At 47.7% G+C, this 25882-nt stretch overlaps 1 protein-coding gene across 1 annotated transcript in view, besides 2 other annotated features; it reads left to right on the top strand.

Moving 5' to 3' along the window:
• Nucleotides 4980–25882, top strand: part of SLC25A20 (solute carrier family 25 member 20) — a 41957-nt gene continuing 21054 nt past the window's right edge. Inside the window, exons 1-4 of the mRNA NM_000387.6 lie at nucleotides 4980–5172; nucleotides 11790–11882; nucleotides 19738–19865; nucleotides 24414–24504. Of these exons, the coding sequence (NP_000378.1) occupies nucleotides 5068–5172; nucleotides 11790–11882; nucleotides 19738–19865; nucleotides 24414–24504 (417 nt within the window). The 5' untranslated portion in view covers nucleotides 4980–5067. The remainder of the gene's footprint in view (nucleotides 5173–11789; nucleotides 11883–19737; nucleotides 19866–24413; nucleotides 24505–25882) is intronic.
• Nucleotides 5240–5429: a silencer, noted in NCBI's record as "silent region_14341". NCBI's record gives its function as "represses an Ori minimal core promoter by ATAC-STARR-seq in GM12878 lymphoblastoid cells {active_cell/tissue: GM12878}" and the evidence as "EXISTENCE:reporter gene assay evidence [ECO:0000049][PMID:35858748]".
• Nucleotides 6010–6059: an enhancer, noted in NCBI's record as "active region_19844". NCBI's record gives its function as "activates an Ori minimal core promoter by ATAC-STARR-seq in GM12878 lymphoblastoid cells {active_cell/tissue: GM12878}" and the evidence as "EXISTENCE:reporter gene assay evidence [ECO:0000049][PMID:35858748]".

Genomic DNA, 25882 nt, shown 5'->3' with positions numbered 1-25882 from the left:
TGCCCTTCCCACATATAGCAAACTTTAACATCAATGATCGTAAAGATAACTACAGGTTTCAGATTTCACAAATTTATTTGCTTGCCATGTTTTCTTTCTTGGTTTTGCTTTTTGCTTTTTAATTTTTATGTGTTTTTTTTTTCACCTTGGCCTCCCAATGAGCTGGGATTACAGGTGTGAGTGACCATGCCCAGCCATGTATAGCAAACTTCCTACTTTTTTTGTTTTGTTTTGTTTTGTTTTTGAGACGGAGTCTTGCTCTGTCCCCCAGGCTGGAGTGCAGTGGCACGATCTGGGCTCACTGCAAGCTCCGCCTCCCGGGTTCACACCATTCTCCCACCTCAGCCTCCCGAGTAGCTGAGACTACAGACGCCCACCACCATGCCCGGCTAATTTTGTTTTTGTATTTTTAGTAGAGACGGGGTTTCACCATGTTAGCCAGGATGTTCTCGATCTCCTGACCTTGTGATCCGCCCACCTTGGCCTCCCAAAGTGCTGGGATTACAGGCATGAGCCAACTTCCCACGTGTCTGTTTGCATAGTTGAGTGATACTGTTTCATCCTCCTGCTTGGATGCTAGTTTGGCTGAGTATGAGGATCAATTTTTTTTTTTTTTTTTTGAGACAGAATCTCTCTCTGTCACCCAGGCGGGAGTACAGTGGCAAGATCTTGGCCCACTGCAACCTCTGCCTCCTGGGTTCAAGCAATTCTCATACCTCACCTCCCAAGTAGCTGGGACTACAGGTGCCTGCCATCACACCTGACTAATTTTTATATCTTTTTTTTTTTTTTTCAGAGATGGAGTCTTGATGTTGTTGCCTGGGCTGGAGTGCAATGGCACGATCTTGGCTCACTGCAACCTCCACCTCCCGGGTTGTAGAAATTCTCCTGCCTCAGCCTCCCGAGTAGCTAAGATAACAGGTGCCTACCACCACGCTCAGCTAATTTTTGTATTTTTAACAGAGATGGGGTTTCACCATGATGGCCAGGCTGGTCTTGAACGCCTGACCTCAGGTGATCCACCCGCCTCAGCCTCCCAAAGTGCTGGGATTACAGATGTGAGCCACTGCACCTGGCCAACCCTGTCTCTACTAAAAATACAAAAATCAGCCAGGTGTGGTGGCGGGTGCCTGTAATCCCAGCTACTCATGAGGCTGAGGCAAGAGAATCGCTTGTACCCTGGAGGTGGAGGTTGCAGTGAACCAATATCACACCATTGCATTCCAGCCTGGGCCACAGAGCAAGACTCCGCCTCAAAAAAAAAAAGTATATATATATAATGTGTTCTGATTCTTTTTTTCTTTTTGAGACAGAGTCTCACTCTGTCAGCGATCCCTGCTCACTGCAATTTCTGCCTCCTGGGTTCAAGCAATTCTCCTGCCTCAGTCTCCCTTGTAGCCAAGATTACAGGCACCCACGACCACACCAGATAATTTTTTTTGTATTTTTAGTAGAGATGGGGTTTCACCATGTTGGTCAGGCTGGTCTTGAACTCCCGACCTCAAATGATCTGCCTCTCTCGACCTCACAAATTTCTGGGATTATAGGCATGAGCCATGGTGCCTGGCCCTGATGATGATGATGATGATTATTGAGACAGAGTCTTGCTCTGTGGCCAGGCTGGAGTGCAGTGGTGCCATCTCAGCTCACTGCCACCTCCCACTCCCTGGTTCAAGTGATTCTGTTGCCTCAGCCTCCCTAGTATTGGGATTACAGGCACATGCCACCATGCCCAGCTAATTTTTGTATTTTTAGTAGAGATGGGGTTTCATTATGTTGGCCAGGATGGTCTTGATCTCCCGACCTCACGATCCACTCACCTTGGCCTCCCAAAGTGCTGGGATTACAGGTGTGAGCCACTGCGCCTGGCCCCTCATTCGAATGAGAATGCTTGATTGCCTATTTTTTCCTGTGTGAAGGCATTTATGAATCCCTTTCTAAAAATTTGCTCCAATGCATATAGTTGTTTTTTTGTGGTTTTTTTTTTTTTGAGACGGAGTTTTGCTCTGTCACCCAGGGTGGAGTGCAATGGCGTGGTCTCGGCTCACTGCAACTTCTGCCTCCTGGGTTCAAACGATTCTCCTGCCTCAGCCTCCTGAGCAGTTGGGATTATAGGTACATGCCAGCACGCCTAGCTAATTTTTGTATTTTTAGTAGAGAGAGCATTTCACCATGGTGGCCAGGCTGGTCTCGAACTTTGACCTCATGATCCGCCTGCCTGGGCTTCCCAAAATGTTGGGATTACAGGTGTGAGCCACTGTGCCCGGCCCATAATTCTTTTTTTTTCTTTTCTTTTTTTTTTTTTTTTGAGACGGAGTCTCACTCTGTTGCCCAGGCTGGAGTGCAGTGGCGCGATCTCGGCTCCCTACAAGCTCCACCTCCTGGGTTCTTGCCATTCTCCTGCCTCAGCCTCCTGAATAGCTGGGACTACAGGCTACTGCCACCACGCCCGGCTAAGTTTTTGTATTTTTAGTAGAGATGGGGTTTCACCGTGTTAGCCAGGATAGTCTCGATCTCCTGACCTCATGATCCGCCCACCTCGGCCTCCCAAAGTGCTGGGATTACAGGCGTGAACCACTGCGCCCAGCCCCGGCCCCATAATCTTAAATCTTCTTTGACACCCTTTATATCCTTTTTATATCCTTTTTATTTATTTATTTATTTTAATTTATTTTATTTTTTTTTGAGAAAGAGTCTCACTCTGTTGCCAGGCTGGAGTGCAGTGGCGTGATCTTGGCTAACTGCAAAATCCACCTCCCGGGTTCACGCGATTCTCCTGCCTTAGCCTCCTGAGTAGGTGGGACTGCAAGCACTGTGCCATCACACCTGGCTAATTTTTTGTGTTTTTAGTAGAGAAGGGGTTTCACTGTGTTACCCAGGATGGTCTCGATCTCCTGACCTCATGATCTGTATGCCTCGGTCTCCCAAAGTGCTGGGATTACAGGCGTGAACCACTGTGCCTAGCTGCTTTATATCCTATTAATTGACAACTTAAAATTTTTTTTTCTTTAGACTATATCCAGAATCTGGCCACCTCTTTTTTTTTTTTTTTTTTTTTTTTGAGACGGAGTCTTGCTCAGTCACCCAGGCTGGAGTGCAGTGGCACGATCTCAGCTCACTGCAACCTCCGCCTCCCAGGTTCACGCCATTCTCCTGCCTCAGCCTCCCGAGTAGCTGGAACTACAGATGCCCGCCACGATGCCCGCCATGATGCCCGGCTAATTTTTTTGTTTGTATTTTTAGTAGAGACGGGGTTTCACCATGTTAGCCAGGATGGTCTCGATTTCCTGACCTTGAGATCCACCCGCCTCGGCCTCCCAAAGTGCTGGGATTACAGGCGTGAGCCACCACGCCCGGCCGAATCTGACCACTTCTTACTACCTCCTCTGTTATGCCCTGGCGCAAGTCAACATCTCTGGCCATGGCTTTTAGCCTCCTTAAGGCTCCTTGTTTCTTCTTGCCCCCTGGAGTCTATTTTCACCCAGCAATCAAAGGGGGATCCTGATAACGATGTCAGACTATGTCGCTCCCCACTCAGTACCCTGCAATGACTTCTACGTCCTTCAGAGGAGAGACAGTGGCAAGATCTCGGTTCACTGCAAGCTCCGCCTCCTGGGCTCAAGCGATTCTCCTGCCTTAGACTCTCGAGTAGCTGGGATCACAGGCATAGGCGTCTGCCATTACGGCTGGCAAGTTTTTGTATTTTTAGTAGAGACGGGGTTTGACCATGTTGGCCAGGCTGGTCTTGAACTCCTGACCTCAGGTGATCCACCTGCCTTGGCCTTCCAAAGTGCTGGGATTATAGGCATGAGCCACTGCGTCGGGCCTTTAACTTTTTTTTTTTTTTTTTTTTTTTTTTTTTGTAGAGACAGTGTTTCGCTCTTTTTGCCCAGGCTGGAGTGCAATGGCACGATCTGGGCTCACCGCAATCTCTGCCTCCCAAGTTCAAGTGATTCTCCTGCTTCAGCCTCCCAAGTAGCTGGGATTACAGGCATGCGCCACCATGCCCCGCTAATTTTGTATTTTTAGTAGAGACGGGGTTTCTCCATGTTGGTCAGGCTGGTCTCAAACTCCTGACCTCAGTTGATATGCCTGCCTTGGCCTCCCAAAGTGCTGGGATTACAGGTGTGAGCCACTGGGCCCGGCCTAACTTTTTTTTTTTAGAGACAAGAGTCTCGCTATATAAGTCAGGCTGGTCTCAAACTCCTGGGTTTAAGCAATCCTCTCGCCTTGGCCTCCCAAAGAGCTGGGATTACAGACATGAGCCATAACACCAGGCCCAAACCTGTCTTCTAGTGCCTCCAAAACCTCTGTCGCCTCATCAGCTACTACCCTCCCTCTTCCTGTGGTTTCTCAAACATGTCAGGCACAGACCATCTCAAGGCTTTTGCATTTTCTTTTTCTTCTGGGTGGAAGGTTCCTCACCCTTGACCCTGTTATGTGTGAACAGAACTCCCTCTCTCATCTTCTCAGGTCTTGAATCCTGTCACCTTTTCAGTTAAACCCTCCCTTATTCAACGAACTAAAATTGCAAATCACTTGTCCCACACACCCTCTAACTCTCTTCCTGGATTTTTCTCCGTAGTACTTATTACTACTTGATACACTATGCATTTTTTAGTTATTTATCTTTGTTATGGTCTGTAAATTCCAGGAGGACAGGGACCTGTGTGTTGTACTACCAGGGGTGCCTCCAGCACCTAGAAGGACGCCTGGCATATGGCAGGGCGCAATTGATCTCTCTGGAGTGAGTGGATGAATGGGAGCTCAGAGGAAACATGGAAGTCTGGGAAGGCTTCCTGGAGGAATAGGCCCGCTGGCCCACACTCCCAAACCCCGCCCATGCGGCTTTGCGCTCTGCCACGCCCATCGAAGCGGGGCCGAGGCCGGAAGCAGCCCCGGGCGGAAGCCCTACCGTGCCAACTGGGCCCTCCTCCCGACCTGCCCCGGGCTCGTGCCCCGCCCACCCAAAAGTGGGTGAAAGGTCGGCGGCGCCGGCACTGCAGCTGGGGCTGAGAAGCCAGGACGGCCCGAGAACTGACAGACGGAGTGACAGACGGACTGACCATGGCCGACCAGCCAAAACCCATCAGCCCGCTCAAGAACCTGCTGGCCGGCGGCTTTGGCGGCGTGTGCCTGGTGTTCGTCGGTCACCCTCTGGACACGGTCAAGGTGCGGGAGGCTGGGTCGCAGGCTTTGGGGAGGAGGCCCGGGCGGGGCGCGGAAAGCATGGTCCCCCGCGAGGCGCGGACGCTGGGCAGAAGAGGGGCATGTGTGAGCTTCCGTGAGAAGTCTAGGGAATCTCTCTTTCAGGGGTGGGCAGGAAGCTGTACCTTGCGCCCCAAAGAGCCAGGCGGCGGCGCAAAGTGAGCAGCCTCTAACTGCCTGTCAAGAGCTCTGATGTAAAGTTCCCTGTCCCGCAGTCTCTTCTGACCCTGCGCCACTTCTTTAGGGATGGGAAGGAATAAACGTCTCTCCATAGTTTTGGTTTCAGCCAACACTAATATTATCGTTAAGGTTGAAACAGGTCCCCTGTAAAGCCTGCCCCAGGAAGACAACTAAAGACAGAGCGGTACGGTTGTTCTGGAGGTGTCCTTTGATACATTCCCCTGGGGCAAGAGTACCCATCTCTTTCGCACCTTTCCCGGCCCGGGGAGATACTTGACACTCTTCGGCCTGTCACCCAACGGTGGCCTGCTCAGCCTCCTGGGCAGAGGCATCCCTGTGAGAAGCAATGATGACCTCAGTGACCGAGCCCCTTCCACGGAAAGCAAGGTGATCAGCTTTGCACAAGGCCAGCCTCATTCTCACAACTCCCAGATGAGGAAGCTATGGTCAGACTGAGGCTTGGGAGGGAGGACGTTCATCAGGAATTGTTCTCTGGTCTTCCTCATATCATATCTCAACTATTCCCCTTGCAACACCTTCATTAATGCTTTGCTTGGGGACCAAAGTCCATCCCCCATGGCTTAGCACTCGAAGCTGCATCCAGTTTTCTCACTTTTTTTCTAGACGTAGACGTGAAGGAAATTGACAAGTCATTGCCAGGGTGGGCCTGTGGGGAGCAGACATGAGTTTTAAAAGATTGGAAGCCCATGTGAGGGGGTTTGTTAGGATGTTGGGTCAGATTTCTTCCACAGCGAAATAGTTTTGTGGGCACTTCCTCTTGGCCAGCTTGGGCAGCAAGCTCTTTGCTGCCTTTCATCCAAGAGAGGAGCTGCCCTGAAGTAGAGCTCATACTGGGGTCATTCTATAGGAAGACCAGGGTTAAAGTAGCTGGACTGGCTAGGTCATTGTGCAACATGAAATCAAATGTTTATTTAGCTGGTGGTAAATGCCATGTGTTAGTGCTTCCCAGACTGTGGTCATTCCAAGCGGCACTGTCTACTGAGGGACGATTGTCTGGCCTTTCTTCCTGCTCTTGGTCCATATAGGCAGATATCTTATTAGTTCTAGGCCTCTGGGGCCGCCCTTAAAAAAAAAAAAAAAAAAAATATATATATATATATATATATTCACACACACACAAATATTGCTCCTACCTCCATATCACCTTTGTCCTTGATGTCACTCCCAAGAAGGACTGGATGACCTCTGCACTGAAGTGCAAATAACTGAAATGCTCACTGGCATATTTAGCAACCAGAAAGCCTCTTTTTAGCTTAAACCAAAACCACAAATTGCTGACTGCTGTGTTTTTGGCCTTAGTGAGCTGGGTGGGCTCCAATCAAAGCCTGACCTTAAGGTACTTTCAGAGTTCCAAGGTTAAAAAAAAAAAAAAAAAAGGAGAAGAAGAAAAAAAAGAAGTCCAAGATAGTGTAACTGAGCTGTGGGCTGTGTGTCCTGACAAGGCAAAAGCTGCAGCGCTTCAGAGTGGGTCATGAAAAGGCTCTATGGAAGGTGGTGCGTTAGAACAGGCATTCAAGTGCTGGGTGAGTTCAGACTGAAGGAGTAGGGAGACCCAGACAGTCTGATGGGAAGGCAGGAGTGAAGGTGAGTGTGGCTTGCAAGTGGGGATCATATTATAAAATAAGACAACCTAGGCCGGTCACGGTGGGCTCATGCCTGTTAATCCCAGCACTTTGGGAGGCTGAGGCAGGTGGATCACCTGAGGTCAGGAGTTCGAGACCAGCCTGGCCAACATGGTGAAATCCCATCTCTACTAAAAATACAAAAAAAAAAAATTGGCTGCATGTGGTGGCAGGTGCCTGTAATCCCAGCTAATTGGGAGGCTGAGGCAGGAGAATCGCTTGAACCCACAGGGCGGAGGTTGCAGTGAGCTGAGATTGTGCCATTGCACTCCAGCCTGGGTGACAGAGTGAGACTCCTTCCCAAAAACAAAACAAAACAAAACAAAACAAAACAAAACAAAACAAAAACCACCTGCAAAGGACTTTAATGTTCTTGCTGGTTTGGATGGCTGATATCCTGTTGAGACAGGTATGAGGTATGAAGTGTATATAAAATCACAAAAAGGCAGCCTTGGCAACATGGCAAGACCTCATGTCTATAAAAAATACAAAAATTAGCTGGGCATGGTGGTGCACATCTGTAATCCCAGCTACTCAGGCGGCTGAGGCTGGAGGATCGGTTGAACCTAGGAGTTTGAGGCTGCAGTGAGCCTTTGCACTCCATTCTGGGCAACAGAATGAGACACTGTCTCAAAAGAAAAAAAAAATCACAACAAGGTATTAGTCAGAATTTTTTTTTTTTTTTTTTTTGAGACAAGACTCTCCCTCTGTCACCCAGGCTGGAGTACAGTGGCAGGATCTTGGCTCATGGCAACTTCCATCTCCCGAGTTCAAGCAATTCTTTTGCCTCAGCCTCCTGAGTAGCTGGGATTATAGGTGCCCACCACCATGCCTGGCTAATTTTTGTATTTTTAGTAGAGATGGGGTTTCTCCATGTTGGGCAGGCTGGTCTCAAACTCGTGGCCTCAAGTGATCCTCCGGCCTTGGCCTCCTGAAGTGCTGGGATTATAGGTGTGAGCCACTGTACCTGGTCTAGTCAGAAGCTTTGATCCATTTCTCTCTCTCTACTAACTAGGGGAGGTTATGCCTGACTATGGGAGATCTGAAGGACAATATGAGGGATTTTGGATGTAAAGGTATGGTGGCCTCTGGGCATTTCTATTGTGTCCCATAAACCCCTCAGACTTACGTGTCACCTCTGTTGCCCAGAGAGGGACTTCCTTGGTTTGATATGGAAGGCCCTGACAAATACAAGAATAATAAATTCTAAAGAAATTATTAAAAAAATGGTAAAAATGATGATATAGAAGGACCTGACAAATACAAGAATAAGAGATTCCAAAGAAATAAAGAAACAACATGGTAAAAATGATGTTTTGGAAAGGTTAGTATAATAGCAACCTTGAGAAGGATTTGGAAGCAGAACAGTGAGCAGGAAAAACATCCAGGAAGGGCTGGGCGCGGTGGCTCACGCCTGTAATCCCACTTTGGGAGTCTGAGGCGGGCAGATCACCTGAGGTTGGGAGTTCAAGAGCAGGTGACCAACATGGAGAAGCTCCGTCTCTACTAAAAATACAAAATTAGGCCAGGCATGGTGGCTCACGCCTATAATCCCAGCACTTTGGGAGGCTGAGGCGGGCAGATCACCTGAGATTGGACGTTCGAGACCAACCTGAGCAACGTGGAGAAATCCCATCTCTACTAAAAACACAAAATTAGCTGGGCTTGGTGGTGCATACCTGTAATCCCAGCTACTTGGGAGGCTGAGGCAGGAGAATCGCTTGAACCCAGGAGGCAGAGGTTGCGGTGAGCCCAGATCGCACCATTGCTGTGCAGCCTGGGCGACGAGTGAAACTACATCTCAAAAAATAAATAAATAAATAAAAATAAATATACAAATGCAAAATTATCCGGGAGTGGTGGCACATGCCTGTAATCCCAGCTACTTGAGAGGCTGAGGCAGGAGAATCGCTTGAACCTGGGAGGCAGAGGTTGCGGTGAGCCAAGATCATGCCATTGCTCTCCAGTCTGGGCAATGAGTGAAACTCTGTCTCAAAACAAAACAAAACAAAACAAAATTCAGGAAAAAGACTGCAGAAGTAACTGGATATATCAGTTATCTATTGTGGTTTACCAGTTTCCTCCAATGAGGCAGGAGGATCACTTGAGCCCAGGAGTTTAAGGCTGCAGTTAGCCAAGATGGCACCACTGCATGCCAGCTTAGGTGACAGAGCAAGACCTTGTCTCAAAAAAACCCAAAAAACCAAACCAACTTACCCCAAAACTTAATGGCTTAAAACAACAATAAACATTTATCAGGGCCGGGCCGGTGGCTCATGCTTGTAATCCCGGCACTTTGGGAGGCCGAGGCGGGTGGATCACCTGAGGTCAGAAGTTCGAGACCAGTCTGGCCAACACAGCGAAACCCTGTCTCTACTAAAAAAAAAAAAAAAAATGCAAAAGTTACCTGGGTGTGGTGGCACGCACCTGTAATCCCAGCTACGCGGGAGGCTGAGACAGGAGAATCACTTGAACCCAGGAGGCTTGTGGTGAACTGAGATTGAGCCACTGCACTCCAGCCTGGGTGACAGAGCAAGACTCTGCCTCAAAAAAAAAAAAAAAGACAATCCAATTAAAAATCGGCAAAGACTCCAGCCTGTAAGACCCTGTCGAGAGAGAGAGAGAGAGAGAGAGAGAGAGAGAGAGAATCTTCTTCTTTTTTTTTTTTTTTTGAGAAGGAGTCTCACTCTTGCCCAGGCTGAAGTGCAAAGGTGCGATTTTGACTCACCACAACCTCTGCCTCCCGGGTTCAAGCAATTCTCCTGCCTCAGCCTCCCAAGTAGCTGGGATTACAGGTGCGTGCCACCACACCTGGCTAATTTTTGTATTTTTAGTGGAGACAGGGTTTTGCCATGTTGGCCATGCTGGTCTTGAACTCCTGACCTCAGGTTATTGACCCACCTCAGCCTCCCAAAATGCTGGGATTACAGGTGTGAGCCACCGCGCCTGGCCTCCTTTTTTTTTTTTTTTTTTTTTTTCTTTTTTAAAGAGACTGGGTCTTGGCTGGCCATGGTGGCTCATATCTGTAATCGTAGCACTTTGGGAGGCTAAGGCAGGCAGATTGTATGAGTCCAGGAGTTCCAGATCAGCCTGGGCAACATGGTGAAAACCCATCTCTACAAAAAAACCAAAATTAGCCGAGCATGGCATGCACCTGAGGTCCCAGCTACTTGGGAGGCTGAGGTGGGAGGATCACCTGAGCCTGGGAGGCGAAAGTGGCAGTGAGCCAAGATCATACCACTGCACTCCAGCATGGGCGAGACAGTGAGACCCTGTCTCAATAAATAAATAAAAAGAGACCAGGTCTTGCTCTTTTACCCAAGCTGAAGTGTAGTGGCACCATCACAGTTTTCTGTAATCTTGAACTCCTGGCCTCAAGTGATCCTTCCACCTCTGCCTCCCAAAGTTCTGGGATTACAGATGTGAGCCACCACACCCAGCCATGGACCTAAATAGGCATTTCTCTGAAGATGGGCTAATAAGCATGTGAGAAGTTGTTCAGTGTCATTATCCATCATGGAAATGCAAATCAAAATCACAATGACATACCACCTCATACCCAATATGATGGCTTAAAAAAAAAAGTTAGATATAGAGCAATATAGTGAGATTCTGTCTCTACAAAAACAATAAAAATTAGCCTGGCATTGTGGTGTGCACCTGTAGTCCCAGCTGCTTGGGGGGCTGAGGTGGGAGGATTGCATGAGCCCAGGAGGTCAAGGTTGTAGTGAGCTATTGACCACACCGCCGCACTCCAGCCTGAGTGACAGAGTGAAACCTTGTCTCCAAAAAAAAAAAGTATATATATATAAAGATAATAAGTATTGAAGATATGGAGAAATTGGGACCCTCCTAGACTGCTTATGGGAATATAAAATGGTGCAGCCACTTTGCAAAACAGTCTGGCAGTTCCTCAAAAGGTTTAAACAGAGTTGACATATAAGTTAGAAATTATGCCAGTGGATAAATACCTGTGATGGTTAATTTTATGTGTCACCTTGACTAGGCCACAGAGTACCTAGGTATTTGGTCACACATTATTCTGAGTGTGCTTGTGAGGGTGGTTTTGGATATTAACATTTGAATCTGTGGACTGATTAAAGCTAATTGTCCTCCCTAATGTGAGTGGACCTCATCCAGTTGAAGGCCTAAATAGATCAAAAGGCTGACTGACACTTCCTGCAAGTAAGAGGGAACTCCTGCCTGAATACTTGAGGTGGGACATTAGTCTTTTCCCGCCTTCAGACTTGAACTGAATCATTGGTTCTTTTTGGGTCTCAAACTTGCCGACTACAGATCTTGGGACTTCTCAACCTTTATAATTGTATGAGCCAATTGCTTATAATAAATCTCTTGATATATATCTCCTGTTGGTTCTGTTTCTCTGGAGAATTCTGACCAATACAATACCGAAGAGAACTGAAAACATATATCCACACAAAAAACTTGTACACAAATGTTTATAGCAGCATTATTCATAATAATCAAAAAGTAGGAAAAACACAAATGTCTATGAACTGATGAATAGGCAGGCATACAAAATGTGATTTATTCATACGATGGGATATTATTTGCCAATAAAAGGAATGAAGTACTAATGAAATGAAAGAGAAGTTTGAATCCAGCAGGTTAAGTGAATGCCAAAGACATGTACAAGGGTACAGCCTTCCCTGTTCAGTTTGGCAGACAGTTGGGCCATTGCTGCTGACAGGCAGTTCTGATTCTGGTAGGTGACTGCATTTTAACTTCTGTTTTCAGGTCCGACTGCAGACACAGCCACCGAGTTTGCCTGGACAACCTCCCATGTACTCTGGGACCTTTGACTGTTTCCGGAAGACTCTTTTTAGAGAGGTTGGTATATGGTGCTGGGCATTCCTCTTACTCAGAACACATTCACGGGGTTGATTTGTTACCCCCAAGGAGAGTAGGTTAACTGTGTGGTTCTGCTGGACAGCTAGCTCACAGCTGCCGCTCCTTCACCACGCCACCCTGTGCCCCCCTGTTGTCATCTGCTTTGGAGTCTCTGATAGTTCTAGCTACTGTTTTATACAGATGACTAAGGCTAATAAAATGGTTCTCTCTTTTGGAAGATGGAATTTAGACGACGGAGAACTAGTGAGTAATAATTGAGATGTGAAATGGAAGAAAATGTACATCTGAGCTGGGTGTGGTGGCTCACGCCTCTAATCCTAGCGCTTTGGGGGCCAAGGCAGGTGGATCACTTGAGGTCAGGAGTTTAAGACCAGCCTGGGCAACATGTAGAGAGTGTCATCTCTACAAAAAATGCAAAAATTAGAGGGGCATGGTAGCGCATGTACATCTGTAGTCCCAGCCACTCAGGAGACTGAGGTGGGAGGATCACTCCACCAGGAGGTAGAGTTTGCAGTGAGCCAAGATTGCACCACTGCACTCCAACCTGGGTGACAGAGTGAGACCCTGCCTGAAAAACAAAAAAAGGCCAATCATGGTGGCTTACGCCTATAATCCCAGCACTTTGGGAGGCCAAGGTGGGTGGATTGCCGGAGTTCAGGAGTTCAAGACCACCCTGGCCAACATCATGAAACCCCGTCTCTACTAAAAATACAAAAATTGGCTGTGCACGGTGGCATGCGCCTGTAGTCCCAGCTACTTGGGAGGCTGAGGCACGAGAATCGCTTGAACCCAGGACGGGGAGGTTGCAGTGTAGGGTCCAGCCCTACGGGGCTTAGCGGATGTTTTCCCCATGTGTGGAGATGAGAGATCATAAGAAATAAAGACACAAGACAGAGATAAAGAGAAAACAGCTGGGCCGGGGGGACCACTACCAAGACATGGAGACTGGTAGTGGCCTTGCATGGCTGGGCGCGCTGATATTTATTGAATACAAGACAAGGGGGTGGCTGGGCGCGCTGGCTCACGCCTGTGATCCCAGCACTTTGGGAGGCTGAGGCGGGTGGATCACGAGGTCAGGAGATCGAGACCATCCTGGCTAACACGGTGAAACCCCATCTCTACTAAAAATACAAAAAATTAGCCGGACGTCGTGGCGGGCACCTGTAGTCCCAGCTACTCGGGAGGCTGAGGCAGGAGAATGGTGTGAACCCAGGAGGCGGAGCTTGCAGTGAGCTGAGATCACACCACTGCACTCCAGCATGGGCGACAAAGCGAGACTCTATCTCAAAAAAAAAAAAAAAAAAAAAGACAAGGGGGCAGGGTAAGGAGGGTGAGTTATCCAAGTGATTGATAAGGTCAGGCAAATCACGTGATCATGGGATAGGGAGCCCTTCTGTTTTAGGTAGCCGAAGCAGAGAGGGAAGGCAGCATACATCAGCATTTTCCTCTATGCACTTATAAGAAAGATCAGGCCGGGCGCGGTGGCTCATGCCTGTAATCCCAGCACTTTGGGAGGCTGAGGCAGGTGGATCACAGGGTCAGGAGATCAAGACCATCCTAGCTAACACGGTGAAACCCCGTCTCTACTAAAAAAAATACAAAAAATTAGCTGGGCATGGAGGTGGGCGCCTGTAGTCCCAGCTACTCAGGAGGCTGAGGCAGGAGAATGGCGTGAACCCAGGAGGCGGAGCTTGCAGTGAGCCGAGATCCTGCCACTGCACTCCAGCCTGGGTGACAGAGCGAGATCAAAGAGGAACCAGGAGTATGGGAGGAACATGAAAGTGGACAAGGAGCGTGATCACTGAAGCACAGCGTCACAGGGAGGGGTTTAGGCCTCTGGAAAACTGGGCAGGCCTGGATAATATCCAGCCTCCCACAAGAAGCTGGTGGAGTAGAGTGTTCCCTGACTCCTCCAAGGAAAGGAGACTCCCTTTCATGGTCTGCTAAGTAACGGGTGCCTTCCCAGGCACTGGCGTTACTGCTTGACCAAGGAGCCCTCAAGCGGCCCTTATGCGGGCGTGACAGAGGGCTCACCTCTTGCCTTCTTGGTCACTTCTCACAATGTCCCTTCAGCACCGGACCCTATACCTGCCGGTTATTTCTTGTTTATATTAGTAATACAACAAAGAGTAATATTAAAAGCTAATGATTAATAATGTTTATACTAATGATTGATAATGTCCATGATCATCTCTATATCTAATTTGTATTATAACTATTCTATTTTCTTTATTATAGTGAAACAGTTTGTGCCTTCAGTCTGTTGCCTCGGCACCTAGGTAATCCTTTGCCCACACTGCAGTGAGCTGAGACTGCACCATTGCACTCCAGCCTGGGCAACAAGAGTGAAACTCTGTCTCAAAAAAAGAAAAAGAAAAAAGAAAATGTACACCTGCATCTGGATCAGTCAGTTTGATAGGGATCCATGTCAGAAGCGCATATGAATAAAGTCTGAAGGAAAAGTCAGCCAGTCCTAGAAACACTGAGAGAAGCTATCAGTCTCCAGTTCCCCTAGACAGGGACATTAAATTGGTTTGGAGTTATTATTATTATTATATATATATATTTTGAGACATGGTCTCACTCTGTTGCCCAGGCTTGACTACAGTGGCATGAACTTGGCTCACTGCAACCTCTGCCTCCCAGGCTCAAGAGATTCTCCTGCCTAAGCTTCCCGAGTAGCTGAGATTACAGGCATGTGCCATCATGCCTGGCTAATTGCACTCCAGCCTGGGCAAAAAGAATAAAACTCTGTCTCAAAATAAGAATAATATTAATAATAATAATAAATAACTTCATTAACACAGGTCTTAAAGACCTCATTGAGATCTTTTCCTTTGCTTCCTAAAATATAACTTTTTTTTTTTTGAGACGGAGTTTTGCTCTTGTTGTCCAGTCTGGAGTGCAATGGCACAATCTTGGCTCACCGCAATCTCTTGAACCATCTCCTTGGTTCAAGTGATTCTCCTGCCTCAGCTTCCTGAGTAGCTGGGATTATAGGCATGCACCACCATGCCTGGCTAATTTTGTATATTTAGTAGAGACAGGGTTTCACCATGTTAACCAGGATGGTCTCGATCTCCTGACCTCATGATCCACCCGCCTCAGCCTCCCGAAGTGCTGGGATTACAGGCATGAGCCACCACGCCTGGCCCTAAAATATAACTTTCATATAAACACTCTATTATAGTCTCTAAATTTATAGCCTTGATTAAATATACAGAAACTAAGTAGTAGTCATCCAGATAAAAAGGGAGTGATAGTAAGTGATGGACTCAGCCTTGGCGAAGTTGTTCCCAGGATTCCTGTAGGACTTGGGTGCAGAAGGAAGATCTTTTTAAACTATTTATTTATTTATTTATTTATTTATTTATTTATTTATTTATTTTGAGACAAGAGTCTTGTTCAGTTGCCCAGGCTGGAGTGCAGTGGCGCAATCTCGGTCACTGCAAACTCTGCCTCCCGGGTTCAAGTGATTCTCCTGCCTCAGCCTCCCGAGTAGCTGGGATTGCAGGCACCTGCCACCATGCCCGGCTAATTTTTGTGTTTTTAGTAGAAATGGGGTTTTACCATGTTGGCCAAGCTGGTCTCAAACTCCTGACTTTGTGATCTGCCCGCCTCAGCCTCCCAAAGTGCTGGGATTACAGGCATGAGCCACTGCATCTGGCTTAGGAAGATCTTGAGGCAGTGCCTGCCCAACCGTCCTTGAGTGAGGTGGTGCTACCCTTCTTTTTTTTTTTTTTTTTTTTTTCGAGATGGAGTCTTGTTCTGCCACTCAGACTGGAGTGCAGTGGTCCGATCTTGGCTCACTGCAACCTCCACCTCCTGGGTTCAAGTGATTCTCCTGCCTCAGCCTCCCAAGTAGCTGGGATTACAGGCACCTGCCACAATGCCCAGCTCATTTTTATAATTTTAGTACAGATGGGTTTTGCCATGTTGGCCAGCTGGTTTTAATCTCCTGAGCTCAGGTGATCTGCCTGCCTCAGCCTCCCAAAGCGCTGGAATTACAGATATGAGCCACCACGCCTGGCCTGCCCTTTCTTCTTCTTCTTTTTTTTTATGGAGTCTCATTCTGTCACCCAGGTTGGAGTGCAGTGGCACGATCTCAGCCCACTGCAACCTCCGCCTCCCGGGTTCAAGCAATTCTCCCTGCCTCAGCCTCCCGAGTAGCTGGGACTACAAGCGTCTGCCACCATGCCCGACTAATTTTTGTATTTTTAGTAGAGATGGGGTTTCACCATATTGGCCAGGCCGGTCTTGAACTCCTGACTTCGTGATCTGCCCTCCTTGGCCTCCCAAAGTGCTGGAATTACAGGCGTGAGCCATGGCACCTGGCCTTGTTCTTTCTTCTTTAAGCTCCTCCTCCTTACATCTCTAGTGCCCAGGGTAGAGTCTGAGCAGTGTCTGATGGAGGTTCTAGGCTTCAGGTCCACTTAGAGTCCTCTGCCCTTACAGAAGGAAGGTAGGCTTACCTGCCTCTTGGTCATTAGACGTTATTGAACACCTGCCTAGGGGTGGGCAATGTGCTGGGTCCTGGAGTTGTGGTGAGAATGTCTTGTATAAACCCAAGTCTTTGAAGAGTTGAATAGGCTTCCTTAGTCCATATTTGTGCATGTCCTGGTTTTTCCTGTGCCAGATTTGAGCTTTCTGCTTTCTGGAGCTGCCAGGCAGGGGTCTGTAGGTTGTGAAACATGGAACTGGGTTGGCCATTCTAGTGGAAGGAAGACTAGACAAGTTGTTCAGGAGGAATGGGCTTGACCTCTCAGGACCTGGTCATCCTTTTAGCTCATGTAGGGAGCTGTGGGAATGGCTTTGAATGGACTTTGTCATATGCTACTTTTGCAGATCCTCCTCAGATCTCTGTCCTTTTCCCATTTACTGCCTCTGTACTTTGTTCTTGGAGTCCACCTGCAGCCTGCAGCAGTTTAGGCTTTTGCAGGAATTAGGAGGAATGCTGACAGGTACAGTTGTGCCACTTTGATTCTGAAAAGAAAGTTTGGATACCCAGGGTCTGCAGTGAGGCAGGTTCTTCAGCCTGGGTCTGTGGAGCCCTGCCAGTGTGCAGCCTCACCCTGATTCTCCTGCTACTCTCTATAAGGAGAAACTTTAAAATTTTTTTGTATTTGTTTTAAAAAAATGGTTTTGAGATGGGGTCTTGCTATTTTACCCAGGCTGGTCTTGAACTCCTGGGCTCAAGTGATCCTCCCGTCTCAGCCTCCTGCGTACCTGAGATTATAGGCCCTGATACAGGCACTTCATTTGTTACTGAGAAGCTTATGACAAAGTAACAAAGTGATATTTATCTCTTTCCTTCATTCTCCAGAGGCAACTACTTTCAATTTTTTCAGTTGTTTATGCTGTTTCCACCTATCTACATAATATACATTTACTATTATATTTTATTTATTTATTTTTATTATTATTATTTTTTGTTTGAGACGGAGTTTTACTCTTGTTGCCCAGGCTGGAGTGCAATGGCGCGATCTCGGCTCACTGCAACCTCCGCCTCCCGGTTCAAGCGATCCTCCTGCCTCAGCCTCCTGAGTAGCTGGGATTACAGGCATGTGCCACCACGCCTGGCTAATTTTGTATTTTTAGTAGAAACAGGGTTTCTCCATGTTGGTCAGGCTGGTCTCGAACTCCCGACCTCAGGTGATCCGCCCGCCTTGGCCTCTGAAAGTGCTGGGATTACAGGCATGAGCCACCGCACCCGGCCATTACTATTATATTTTATACATTTTTATATTTTTTAGCTACCTATTTGTGGTACATTATTTTATATTTTAGCTCTTAGTCTCCCTATCCCCTCCTTCTGCCCTGCCCATCCATATGATTTTATCACCCTTTGTGGTTTAATCCAATTCACCATTTTCATGATTACAACTTTATATATATTTTTTCTCTTAAGTAAGTATGAAGTATGATGTGCATTCCATTCCTTGTGTAACTTCTTGTTTCCCTTGGGATTGGGTTAATAATTGTGTTAAATCTTTTGTTTTGTTTGTCTTTGAATCACTGTCTCTGTCATTCTGTACCCTAAATGCTCTGTAGTGTACCTTTCTGTTTGGTTTGCTACACACTGCCTAAGGAGTTATTTTCTGTTGTTCTAGTGTGTATTGTTTTGTTCTGTTTTTGTTTTAGTTTAGTTTTGTTTTTTTGAGATGGAATTTTGCTGTGTTGCCAGGCTGGAGTACAGTGGCACAATCTCGGCTCACTGCAACCTTTGCCTCCCAGGTTCAAGCGATTCTCATGCCTCAGCTCCTGAGTAGCTGGGATTACAGGCATGCACCACCACACCCAGCTAATTTTTGTATTTTTAGTAGAGGCGGGGTTTCACCATGTTGGCCATGATGGTCTTGATCTCCTACCTTGTGATCCGCCTGCCTTGGCCTCCCAAAGTGCTGGAATTACAGGCATGAGCTACTGCACCCAGCCTTGTTCTGTTTTTCTTGGAAACATCGCTTTTGGAGTCCTCTACTGCCCTGTGGACTGACTGCTTCCCAGGTCCACTGCACCCTGTGCCATCCTAGAAACGCATTTCATCTCTCTTGGACTGGCCCCCTGGTCTCCCAGGTCCTGAATCTTCCTCGTTTACCACCTTGTTTGGCAGGGTATTTATGTATGTATTTGTCTGTCTGTCTAATTATTTATTGGTTACCACATAATTCACTTTCTTTTTTTTTTTCTAGAGATGGGGTCTCACTCTGTCACCCAGGGTAGAGTACAGTGGCAAGGTCATAGCTCACTGCAGCCTTGAACTCCTTGGCTCAAGTTATTCTCCCAACTCAGCCTCCTGACTGCCTAGGACTACAGGCACACACCACCACGTCTGGCTAACTTTTATTTTTTATTTGTTTTTGTAGAGACAGGGTCTTGCTATGCTGCCCAGGCTCATCTTCCCTTTCATTACTAAACTGTGCTAGTGAAAATTGCTGTGCAGTTCTAACAAAAGTCCCATCTTAATACCTGGAAAATATAAAACATTTTCTTAATCACTTGTAATCTTACCCCAAAGAAGGTAGATCACGTTGTGTATCCTGTTTTGTAGCTTTTTTTTTTTTTTTTACTTAATAATCTCTTCTCATGTTATAATGTGATTTCTTGGCCATGTGACTCCATTTATGGAGTTTATAATTTGTCTTCTATTTGGCAGCTTTTGTTTTTTTCCCCAAAATTTTGGTACCTTATAAGTGCCTGAGGTTATTCTTTTTACACCTCTGAGTATTTCCCTAGAATAAATTCCTTGCAATAAATTTTCCACACAAAATATTTCCAGGTGAAAGGGTATGCTACATATTGGCAGATTGCTGGCCGGGTGCAGTGGCTTATGCCTATAATCCCAGCACTTTAATAGGCCAAGGCAGGAGGATCACTTGAGCCCAGGAGTTCGAGACCAGCTTGGGCAACATGGCAAAACCCTGTCTCTACAAAAAATACAAAAATTAGGTGGGCATGGTGGCGCACGCCTGTAGTCCCAGCTACTTGGGAGGCTGAGATGGGAGGATCACTTGAGCCCAGGGGATCAAGGCTGTGATGAGTTGTGATCGCACCACTGCACCCCAGCCTGGGCGACAGAGTGAGACCCTGTCTGAAAAAAAAAGCCCCCAAAACAAAAACAGATTGCCTTTGAGAATGGAAACTGCCTTCAGTTTCTCCAGCATAATAGGAAAATTATTTCTGATAAATGTGGGAGATTTTCTTCCATTTAAAGTTCTCCTTGCTTCAAGAAGAGGTGAAGGAAGCCACAGTTTGGAGGACACACTGCTTTCCTCTTTCAGTGATTTAAAAGGTGGTGGTGTCTGTAAACAGCTTCTGCTTCTGTGATTCCTTGCAGGGCATCACGGGGCTATATCGGGGAATGGCTGCCCCTATCATCGGGGTCACTCCCATGTTTGCCGTGTGCTTCTTTGGGTTTGGTTTGGGGAAGAAACTACAACAGAAACACCCAGAAGATGTGCTCAGGTGAGTACTTACAGGTCAGGAGCACTTGCTGTTCTGCCTGGTAGCGTGACATGGGTTAAAATAAAGAAACTTGGGCAGGGCGCGGTGGCTCATACCTGTAATCCTAGCACTTTGGGAGACTGAGGCGGGTGGATCACCTGAGGTCAGGAGGTCGAGTCCAGCTTGGCCAACATGGCAAAACCCTGTCTCTACTAAAAATACAAAAAAATTAGCTGGGTGTTGTGGCAGGCGCCTGTAGTCCCAGCTACTTGGAAGGCCGAGGCAGGAGAATCGCTTGAACTTGGGAGGCAAGAGGTTGCAGTGAGCCGAGATGGCACCACTGCACTCCAACCTGAGCAACGGAGCAAGACTCCATCTCAAAAAAAAAAAAAAAAAAAAGGACCTTGGTGGGTCTTCCTGGGCCCCTAGGCCTGACTCCTGGGAGTTTTTTTTTTCTTTCTTTTTTGAGACAGAGTTTTGCTCTTTTTGCCCAGGCTGGAGTGCAATGGCACAATCTCGGCTCACTGCAACCTCCGCCTCCCAGGTACAAGCAATTCTCCTGTCTTAGCCTCCCAAGTAGCTCGGATTACAGGCATGCACCACCACACCTGGCTAATTTTTTTGTGTGTTTAGTAGAGAGGGGGTTTCACCACATTAGGCTGGTCACGATCTCCTGACCCCAGGTGATCCACCCGCCTCGGCCTCCCAAAGTGCTGGGATTTCAGGCGTGTGCCACTGTGCCTGGCCCAACTCCTGGGAGTTATACATGAAGGAGTACTTGAGTTTTTAATTTTTTTAATTTTAAATTTTTTTTTGTTTGTTCGAGACTGAGTCTTGCTCTGTCGCCCAGGCTGGAGTGCAGTGGCGCAATCTCGGCTCACTGTAAGCTCCACATCCCAGGTTCACACCATTCTCCTGCCTCAGCCTTCCAACTAGCTGGGACTATAGGCACCCGCCACCACGCCCGGCTAATTTTTTTTTTTTTTGTATTTTTAGTAGAGACGGGGTTTCGCCGTGTTAGCCAGGATGGTCTCGATCTCCTGACCTCGTGATCCGCCCCCTTTGGCCCCCCAAAGTGCTGGGATTACAGGCATAAGCCACTGTGCCCAGCCCAAGTACTTGAGTTTTTGAGATGGGGTCTTTCTTTGTCACCCAGGCTGGAATGCAGTGGTGCAATCACGACTCACTGTAACCTTGAACTCCTGGGCTCAAGTGATTCTTCTGCCTCAGCCCCCCAAGTAGCTGGGACTACAGGCACACACCATCACTCTGGGCTAATTTTTAAATTTTTTTTAGCAATGGTCGGTGTGTGTGTGTCGGGGCGGCGGGGGGTGCTCTCATTATCTTGCCCAGGCTGGTCTTGAACTCCTGGAGCCAAGCAATTCTCTTGCCTTGGCCTCCCACAGTGCTAGGATTACAGGTGTAAGCCACCACACCTGACCAGTTTTTCGTATTTCTTTTATAAGGTAGTATCAATTACTGGAGAGATTTGTAATACCAACCCCAGGAGGCTGTTGAGAGGTCTGAATGCTTAAATATATGTGACATGTCATAGGCAGCACCTGGTGCTGCCCTAAAGACAAGAACAGCCTTGCTTTCTATCACCTGATTGAGAGAAGAGAAGGTTCCAACTTTTGTTGTGCTTCATTTTTACAGCATGCTAATATGACTATAAAGATTTCAGGTATTAGTTTCTCTGTTAAAGTGGAATAAGTTAATGTGTTTTCCTTTAATAAACTTTAAGAAGTTGGATTTGGGTATGAAGAGTCACCTGAGACAGAATTATAGTTCAGAATTTACAAAGTAGTTAATGAAAACAGAGGCTTCTCAGGAGGCAGGGAAATTCTGAGTGGAAATATTGGGTGAAAAGGTATCCACAATCTGAGCTGTGCAGGATGCCAGCCCCTGGGAGGGGCTATAGGCAGTACAGGAGCCACAGAGGCTGGCCTGCCCTCAGATCCAGGAGCTCAAGGGAGGAAGCCCAGGGCGCCATGCGGTTGTATTCTGTCACCACTTCAGGCCACAGCAGGCTGAGTGAGGGTCTAGGATGTAGATGGAGGTGCTTGTAGAGTGAAACTCTATTTCTGGGATCCTTATGACTCTCTGAATGTCCCTAGATTCTATAAATAGCTGCAAGTGTCCTGAAATGTGGATGGGGTTGTTTTGGAGCTGCATTTGCCCATTGATAGTCCTTGTGTCCCACAGACACATGCCCTCTTTGAGCGCCTGGTCTTTTAGCATGTGTGCCAGCTCACGGATGTATCAGGGCCATGCATGACCCCCGTGGGGTCACTTCTGGTACTTTGGACTATGGGCTGTGTTCCTGTACAGTCACATCAGCACTCAGAAAAACAGTCTTCCTGACTGAACAAAGTTAAGACACTCAGGACCCCACTCCCACAATCCTGTCAGCCCTGCTGTGTTCACCTCCCTGGAATGGTGTTTGGGGGTGATATGGAAAGGAGTGTTACCAGGGCCTTGGGGTGGAAGTCCAGGAGAGTCTAGCTCTCAAAGATGCCTCCCTGGGATGGAGATGGGGGTGGGGAGTGGGAGAATAGGCCAGGCAGCCATTGAGTGTCCACATGACACCCTGTGCACACACAGAGATCCTATTCAGAGACAGTCTCCAGTCCCAAGAGATGAGGTTTGCTGAGCCTAGGGTTGGGCATTATGGGGAAAATGGAACATGTTGGTCTCATAGGGAGAATTTAGTTGCTGAGAGGACTCCTCAGGGATAGCCATGTGAACTGGGACTGTGAAGATGGCCGTGTTGGAAAGCAAGTCTCTTGACTGTTTGACAGTCAGCTTGGCTGTGTGCCTGAGGTAGATGCATGAGCCCTGCCTGGGGTGAATGCAGGGAGAAATCGCGCTGTTGAAACTGGTGCCCTGCCTGGAGTGAACTCTTTACAGTGGATGTCCCTCTAGCCCCATTTGGCATCTGTTCATAAGCTCCTTGTTGGATGGGACTGACCTGAAGGCTCAGTTGTTGGAGGCTTGGGGTCAAGAGTGCACCGAAGCTTAGGACAGTAGGTGAAGTTTTTCAGTAACATTTGCTAAGTTGTGGAACTCTGTTGAAATGCTAAATGTAACTTTGTGCCCCATTGCCTCCAAACCGTGCTGGTATTGCTAATCCCAGAAAGAAAAGGAGGTAGCCAGGCACAGTGGCTCACACCTGTAATTCCAGCACTTTGGGAGGCCAAGGCAGGAGGATCACTTGAGCCCAGGAGTTTGAGACCAACCTGGGCAACATGGCGAAACTCTGTCTCTACAAAAATGCAAAAATTAGCCCGGCTTGCCTGTAGTCCCAGCTACTCAGGAGGTTGAGGTGGGAAGGTCACTTGAGCCCAGGAGATGGAGGTTGCAGTGAGCTGAGATTGCACCACTGCACTCCAGCCTGGGCAACAGAGCAAGACCCTGTTTCAAAAAAAAAAAAAAAAAAAAAAGCCGGGCACAGTGGCTCATGCTGTAACCCTAGCACTCTGGGAGGCCGAAGTGGGTGGATCACTTGAGGTCAGGAGTTCGAGACCATCTTAGCTAACATAGTGAAACTCCGTCTCTACTAAAAATACAAAAATTAGCTGGGTGTGGTGGCAGGTTCCTGTAATCCCAGCTACTCGGGAGCTGAGGCAGGAGAATCATTTGAACCCAGGAGGTGGAGGTTGCACCGAGATCGCTTCACTGCACTCCAGCCTGGGGACAGAGTGAGACCGTGTCTCAAAACAAACACAAACAAACAAAAAGACGAAAGAAAAGAAAAGAAAGGGAGATGCCAGAGGTGGCACAGACAGCTGTGGGTGATAGATGGTAGGAGCCTCAGACTGCTCTTTATACTCAGGGTTGTTCATTCTGTGGGGGCCAGAGTGAAGACCCATACCTCTTGACACTGGGGGACTATTTCCCTGTACAGGGTCCACAGGACCTGTCATGCCTGCCTGGGTATCATCCCTGTCTGGTCCTTTCTCAGCGTCTTACAGCACGTTGCATGCAGTTGCCTTGGCTATCCCTTAGCCTTTAGAGGTGGCCACAGCCATCCTCCTTGGCCTTGAAGCTGTCCTGCTTGAATCTTGGCTTAGAGTGTTCTCAGGCCCTTGGTAATCCAGGGGAAGTGAGACTGGAGGGGAACTACTGGGGGAGATTAAAGTCCAGATCCTGGGTTAGAGACTTCCCCCACAAAAACCCCAGCATGTTAACTAGGGAGAATTGAGGCTCAGAGAGGCCTGGAAACTTGTCCATAGTCACTGTGCCTGGCAGGCGCATGGATGGAAGCCATGTTTTACTATATAAAACTTCTCTTACAGGTGAGGGATTCTGAGCGTGTACCACATGGGGTGGGCCTTGTGGCCAGACTCCCATTGCTCTTGCCACTGAGACCCTTGCTCTGGGAAATTTGACATTAAAATATACCTAGAACTGAGTTTTTGTGCGAAATCTGATTCATTTGTGGCTAGGCTTCTACCCAGTCCAAGTACTTATTTTTTTTCTTACAAAACTGTCCTCTTTGCTGGGATTGGCCTCTGTCCTCGGTGGTTAGTCACAGGTGCTTGCTTCTGCTTTTTGTTTTCAATGCAGCTATCCCCAGCTTTTTGCAGCTGGGATGTTATCTGGCGTATTCACCACAGGAATCATGACTCCTGGAGAACGGATCAAGTGCTTATTACAGGTAAGGTTGTGATTGGAGGGGAAATAGCTTTTTCCTTTCAGTTTATAATTTCGTGTGCATGTTTATGTCCTTTCACCCTTAATAAAGGCTTCAGGACTGGGTGCAGTGGCTCACACCTGTAATCCTAGCACTTTGGGAGACCAAGGTGTGAGGATTGCCTGAGCCCATGAGTTAAAGACCAGCCTGGGGGCCAGGTGCAGTGGTTTACGCCTGTAATCCCAGCACTTTGGGAGCCGAGGAGGATGGATCACTTGAGGTCAGGAGTTTGAGACCAGCCTGGCCAACATGGTGAAACCCCGTCTCTACTAAAAATACAAAAATTAGCCAGGTATAGTGGTGGGCACCTGTAATCCCAGCTACTTGGGAGGCTGAGGCAGGAGAATCACTTGAACCCGGGAGACAGGTTGCAGTGAGCTGTGTCACGCCACTGCACTGCAGCCTGGGCATGAGAGCAAGACTCTGTCTCAAAAAAACAAAACCAAAACAAAACAAAACCAAAAACCAGCCTGGGCAACATAGTGGGATCCCATCTCTACAAATTTTTTTTTTTTTTTTTTTGAGATGGGGTCTTGCTGTGTTTCGCAGGCTGGAGTGCAGTGGCACGATCTTGGCTAACTGCAACCTCCACCTCCCGGATTCAAGTGATTCTCCTGCCTCAGCCTCCTGAGTAGACGAGATTGCAGGCGCCTGCCACCATGCCAGGCTAATTTTTATATTTTTAGTAGAGACAGGGCTTTGCCATGTTGGTCAGGCTGGTCTTGAACTCCTGACCTCCAGTGATCCACCTGCCTCGGCCTCTGAAAGTGTTGGGATAACAGGTGTGAGCCACCACGCCCAGCCCCAAAAATTTTTTAAAATTAGCTGGACTTGGTGGTGTGCATCTGTGGTCCCAGCTACTCAGGAGGCTAAGGTGGGAGGATCACTTGAGCCTGGATTGTTGAGGCTGCACTGAGCCATGATTGTGCCACTGCACTTCAGTCTGGGTGACAGAGTGAGACCCTGTCTCAAATAAACGTAAAGTCTTCACATCCGGTGTACAAAACAATTTATATATATACATATATATATATATATATATATATATTTTTTTTTTTTGTGGAGATGGAGTCTCGCTCTGTCGCCAGGCTGGAGTACAGTGGCATGATCTTGGCTCACTGCAACCTCTGCCTCCCGGGTTCAAGCGATTCTCCTGCCTCAGCCTCCTGAGTAGCTGGGACCACAGGCATGTGCCACCACGCCCACCTAATTTTTGTATTTTTAGTAGAGATGGGGTTTCAACATGTTGGCCAGGATGGTCTCTATCTCTTAACCTTGTGATCTGCCCGCCTCAGCCTCCCAAAGTTCTGGGATTACAGGCGTAAGCCACCGCGCCTGGACT

The sequence above is a fragment of the Homo sapiens genome, chromosome 3 (genome assembly GCF_000001405.40).
Source record: "Homo sapiens chromosome 3, GRCh38.p14 Primary Assembly".
Classification (NCBI taxonomy): domain Eukaryota; kingdom Metazoa; phylum Chordata; class Mammalia; order Primates; family Hominidae; genus Homo; species Homo sapiens.
The sequence above is the reverse complement of the archived record's forward strand: the minus strand, read 5'-3'. Positions and strand labels throughout refer to the sequence as shown.